At 47.4% G+C, this 6,000-nt stretch overlaps 2 annotated features.

Moving 5' to 3' along the window:
* Nucleotides 779–1,228: a transcriptional cis regulatory region, noted in NCBI's record as "candidate enhancer chr12.4732 targeted for multiplex CRISPR interference". NCBI's record gives its function as "positively regulates SCARB1 gene expression in K562 cells {active_cell/tissue: K562}" and the evidence as "EXISTENCE:mutant phenotype evidence [ECO:0000015][PMID:30612741]".
* Nucleotides 1,671–1,780: an enhancer, noted in NCBI's record as "active region_7308". NCBI's record gives its function as "activates an Ori minimal core promoter by ATAC-STARR-seq in GM12878 lymphoblastoid cells {active_cell/tissue: GM12878}" and the evidence as "EXISTENCE:reporter gene assay evidence [ECO:0000049][PMID:35858748]".

Below are 6,000 nucleotides of genomic sequence, written 5' to 3' on the forward strand. Positions count from 1 at the left end.
GCAATCCTCCCGCCTCAGCCTCCCGAGTAGCTGGGACCACAGGGATGCACATCGTGCCCAGCATTTTTTTTTTTTTTTTTTTTTTTGAGATGGAGTCTTGCTCTGTCGCCCAGGCTGGAGTGCAATGGCGCGATCTCAGCTCACTGCAACCTCTGCCTCCTGGGTTCAAGTGATTCTGCTGTCTCGGCCTCCTGAGTAGCTGGGATTACAGGTACACACCACTACACCCAGCTAATTTTTGGTATTTTTAGTAGAGATGGGGTTTCACCATGTTGGCCAGGCTGGTCTCAAACTCCCCACCTCAGGTGATCCACCCGCCTCGGCCTCCCAAAGCGCTGGGATTATAGGCGTGAGCCACCGTGCCTGGCCTATTTTTTTATTATTACTTGTAGAGACAGGGTCTCCCTATGTTGCCCAGGCTGGTCTCCAACTCCTGGGCTCAAGTCATCCTCCCACCTCAGCCTCCCAAAGTGCAGGGATTATAGGTATGTGCCACTGCACCCGGCCCCATGGCAGATATTGATCATAATAATAGCTGATATTCATTAAGACTGAACTTCATGCACGGCAGTGTTCTAACTGTTTTACATTTTAGCTCATTGAATCCCACATTCACCTCTGGAGTCAAAACCAATATTATGTCTACTTTTCAGATGAGGAAACTGAGGCATAGAGAAATAAAGTAACTTGTTCAAGGTCACACAGGGACACAGCGGGGGAGTAACCAGGCCCGAATTTGAACCTGAGTTGTCAGATGCTGGAGTCTGAGCTTCACAAAATCCAAGTGAAACAGAAAGAACAGAAAGGTCTATTAGATGAAAACAAGGCCCTCCCTCACCCCCGACACCTGTACTCCTCTTGCAAAGTTTGGAAAACATTTGGTAATTAATGTTCTGCAAAAGCAAAGAGTAGAGAGTACAAGATCATCAAAGCACTGTCAGACCGTCAGACTGGCTTTTACCCACCTCACTGCGCAGTGGGAGGGTTATTTTGAATTCCAGCGGAGCAGCGGGGGCCCTTCCTTATCTTCGGGGGATAAGCTCCAGGATCCCTAGCGGATGCCTGAGACCTGAGATAGCACTGAACCCGGTATAGACTGTTTTTCCCCATGATAAAATTTAATTTATAATTCAGGCACAGTCAGAGATTAACAACAATAACTAGTAATAAAATAGGCCATGCGCAGTAGCTCACGCCTGTAATCCCAACACTTTGGGAGGCCAAGGCAGGCAGATCACTTGAGGCCAGGAGTTCAACATCAGCCTGGCCAACATAGCAAAACCCTGTCTCTACTAAAAATACAAAAATTAGCTGGGTTTAGTGACACATGTACTCGGGAATAGCTTGAACCCAGGAGGCAGAGATTACAGTGAGCTGAGATCATGCCACTGCACTCCAGCCTGGGCAACAGAGCGAGACTCTGTCTCAAAATAAATAAATAAATAAAACCAAGTAAAAAATTGAAATATATATATATATAGTATGTGTGTGTGTGTGTGTATATATATATATATAATTTTTTTTAGAGATGGGGCCTCGCTCTGCCACCCAGGCTGGAGTGCAATGGTGCGATCATAGCTCACTGCAGCCTCTACATCCTGGGCTCAAGCGATCCTCTCACTTCAGCCTTCGGAGTAGCTAGGACGGGACTACAGGTGCATGCCACCATGCCTGGCTGATTTTTTTTTTTTTAAGACAGAGTCTCGCTCTGTCACCCAGGCTAGAGTGCAGTGGAGCGATCTCTGTTCACTGCAACCTCCGCCTCCTGGGTTCAAGCAATCCTCGTGCCTCAATCTCCCAAGTAGCTGGGATTACAGGTGCCTGCTACCACACCGGCTAATATTTCTTTGTATTCTTAGAGACAGGGTTTCACCATGTTGGCCAGGCTGGTCTCAAACTCCTGGCCTCAAGTGATCTACCTACCTTGGCCTCCCAAAGCGCTGAGATTACAGGTGTGAGCTATCATGCCTGCTCTGAGTTTTAAAAAATTTTTGTTGAGATGGGATTTTGCTGTGTTTACCAGGCTGGCCTTGAATTCCTGGCCTGAAGCAATCCTCCCACCTCAGCCTGCCAAAGTGCTGGGATTACTGGCAGGAGCCACAGTGCCTGGCCCCCTCGTTATTTTTTATTTCTAGAATTTTCCTGGCAATTTTCCTTCATTCACATCCTTTGATGAACTTTGGCACCATTTTCTCAAATCTCCCAAAATTTTGTGTTAGTATTTTAACTGGGATTGTATGGATTTCTAGTTAAATTTAGCAAGCTCTTGGCATCTTTCCAAAGCTGATTCTTCCTCTCAAAGAACAAAGATTGTCTTCCCATGAATGCAAGTCTCTTTTTATATTACAACAATAGTAGAATTTTTTTAAAGCTTTTTATGTTTGTATCCTCCACATTTCTTGGGAAGTTTGCTGTTAAATATTTCATCAGTACAGTTGCTATTGTAAACAAGACCTTTTCTTTCATTAGAAGTAAAGTGGCTGGGCGTGCTGGCTCACGCCTGTAATCCTAGCATTTTGGGAGGCCGAGGTGAGCAGATCATGAGGTCAAGAGATCGAGACCATCCTGGCCAACGTGGCGAAACCCCGTCTCTACTAAAAATACAAAAATTAGCCGGGTGTGGTGGTGCACACCTGTAATCCCAGCTACTTGGAAGCTGAGACAGGAGAATCACTTGAACTCGGGAGGCAGAGGTTGCGGTGAGCCGAGATTGTGCCTCTGCACTGCAGCCTGGGCAACAGAGCAAGACTCAGTCTCAAAAAAAAAAAAAAAAAGTAAAAATCAAAGTTGTATAAAAAGGGCCAGGCGCGGTGGCTCACGCCTGTAATCCCAGCACTTTGGGAGGCCGAGGCGAGTGGATCACGAGGTCAAGAGATCAAGGTTGTAGTGAGTCGACGTCGCACTCCACTCCAAGCACCACTGCACTCCAGCCTGGCGACACAGCGAGATTCCATCTCAAATAAATAAATAAATAAAGTTAGATTTATAAAGTCGGGTCCAAAGATTGATTCCACAGATTTGGGATGAGCCCCTGAGAAAGCTGCATTTTCAACTAATCCATGCCCCAGCCAATCCTAAGGCAAGCTAATGTCCAAGAACCATTCTCACTGCCTACTACTGTCTGGCAGGGGCTGGGATATCATGGGAGACAAAAAGGCACAGTTCCTATTCTCAAAGAACTTCTATTTCAGTGCAAACCACTGTTTAAAAAAGTAAAAATCGGCCGGGCATGGTGGCTCATGCCTGTAATCCCAGCACTTCAAGAGGCCAAGGCGGGCAAATCACCTGAGGTCAAGAGTTCGAGACCAGCCTGGCCAACATGGCGAAACCCTGTCTCTACTAAATACAAAAATTAGCTGGGCATGGTGGCGGGCACCTGTAGTCCCAGCTACTTGGGAGGCTGAGACAGGAGAATCACTTGAACCTGGGAGGTGGAGGTTGCAGTGAGCCGAGATCACACCACTACACTCCAGCCTGGGTGACAGAGCAAGACTCTGTCTCAAAAAAAAAAAAAACAAAGTTGTATAAAAAGGTGAAAGCCACCTGTGTTAGGGTATACGTTAAGCTGCTAAGAGACCTCAAAATACAGTGACTCTAACAAATTAGAAACGTATTCCTCTCTCCCTTAACATCGCAGAGATGGCTGCTAGTCCAAGAAGGCAGGAGATTCGGCTCCACGTGGTCACCCAGGGACCCAGGGACCCCACCTCCTGCTGCTCCACCATCCCCAGGGACAGAGCTGGCTTCTCGAACCCTGTCCACGTTCCAGCTCAAAGGGAGTGGGAAATAGAGGTGGACAACCAGCTTCCCTTCTAACCATCTGGCCTGGAAGTGTTCCCGTCACATCATCCACCTGTATCTTATAGGCGAGAACATAGTCTCGAGGTCACACCTAGCTTCAGTGGAAGCTGGAAAACATCACCTCTGGCTGGGTGACATATGCCCATCTGGAATTTTAGGGACTCTAAAACTAAAAAGAAAAGAGGAATGTGGGCCGGGCATGACGCCTGTAATCCCAGCACTTTGGGAGGCCGAGGCGGGTGGATCACAAGGTCAGGAGTTCGAGACGAGCCTGGCCAAGATGGTGAAACCCCGTCTCTACTAAAAATACAAAAATTAGCTGGGCATGGTGGCAGGCGCCTGTAATCCCAGCTACTCGGGAGGCTGAGGCAGAGAATTGCTTGAACCCGGGAGGCGGAGGTTGCAGTGAGCCGAGATTGCGCCGCTGCACTCTAGCCTGGTCTACAGAGCGAGACTCTGTCTCAAAAAGAAAAAAGAAAAGAAAAGAGGAATATGGTAATTGGGGAGCAATTAAAAAATCTCCCCCACACTGTCCCACCTTCAGCCTCACCCTCATCAATAACTGGCACACTGTAGACACAAATTGCAGATGGAAAAATTTTATGATGGGCAGCAGTTCTGGATTCTTCCTGTGGTCTCCTTTCCATGTTCTTTGGAATTTCTGAAAAATAAAGAACTGAAATTAGAGTTTTTCCCAGCATCGAGCTGACAAGAGGAACTGCATTCTTATTAAGTGGAACAAAACAAGAACTCTTGTATTCCCACAGAACAGACGTTGATGCTGTTCAGAGAAAATGGCTTTCTCCTTTAAAAAATAACCTCTTTGGGGCCAGGTTATGGTGGTGCATGCCTGTAATCCCAGCATTTTGGGAGGTCGAGGCGGGAGGATCACTTGAGCCCAGGAGTTTGAGACCAGCCTGGGCAACACAGTGAGACCCCTTCTCTACAAAAAATACAAAATACAAAAATAAGCCGGGTGTGGTGATGCATGCCTGTAGTCCCAGCTACTCAGGAGGCTGAGGTGGGAGGATCACTTGAGCCCAGGAGGTAGAGGTTGCAGCGAGCTATGATCACACCACTGCAATCCAGCCTGGGCGACAGAGCAAGACCCTCTATCAAAAGAATAACAACAACAAAAAGAAATAACCTCTCAAATCAAGACAAAGCTGGCCGCAGTGGCTCACACCTGTAATCCCAGCACTTTGGGAGGCTGAGGCGGGCGGATCACCTGAGGTCAGGAGTTCAAGACCAGCCTGACCAATATGGAGAAACCCCACCTCCACTAAAAATACAAAATTAGCCAGGCGTGGTGGTGCATGCCTGTAATCCCAGCTACCTGGGAGGCTGAGGCAGGAGAATCACTTGAAGCCGGTAGGCAGAGGTTGCAGTGAGCCAAGATCACGCCATCGCACTCCAGCCTGGGCAACAAAGAGCGAAACTCCATCTCAAAAAAAAAAAAAAAATTTCAAGACAGAGCCTTCATAAACCTTCATGAAAGGAGGGCCAAGAAGCGTGGCTGGGCTCTTTCCTGGCATGCGGGCTGTGATCCTCCCAGCAGTCTTTAGGAATTATCCACTCCAACTCCCTTGTCTAACCAATGGGGATACTGAGGCTCCGAGAGACCACTCATAGCCAAGGTTCATTTTGCATAAAAACAAACTGCACAATTGTCTATGGAAATGTTACATTAGAAAACTCAAAGAAAATCTCTGGAAAGCTATACAAGAAACTGATAATAGAGGTTGCCTCTGGGGAGGGCAGTCAAGGCAGGGCAAGACTTACTTTTTGCCAAAACCCCTTTTATATACAGTGATGGCTTTCTTTTCTCTCTCTGTCTCTCTGTCTCTCTCTCTCTCCCTTTTTTTTTTTTTTTTTTTTGAGACGGAGTCTTGCTCTGTCACCCAGGCTGGAGTGCAGTGGCGCGATCTCGGCTCACTGCAAGCTCCGCCTCTCGGGTTCAAGCAATTCTCCTGCCTCAGCCTCCCAAGTAGCTGGAACTACAGGCGCCCGCCACCACGCCTGGCTAATTTTTTGTATTTTTAGTACAGACAGAGTTTCACCGTGTTAGCCAGGATGTTCTCAATCTCCTGACCTCGTGATCCGCTCTCTCCCTCTTTTTTTATTTTTATTTTTATTTTATTTTTATTTTTTGAAATGGAGTCTTGCTCTGTCGCCTGGGCTGGAGTGCAGTGGCACGAT

Source organism: Homo sapiens, chromosome 12 (genome assembly GCF_000001405.40).
Source record: "Homo sapiens chromosome 12, GRCh38.p14 Primary Assembly".
Classification (NCBI taxonomy): domain Eukaryota; kingdom Metazoa; phylum Chordata; class Mammalia; order Primates; family Hominidae; genus Homo; species Homo sapiens.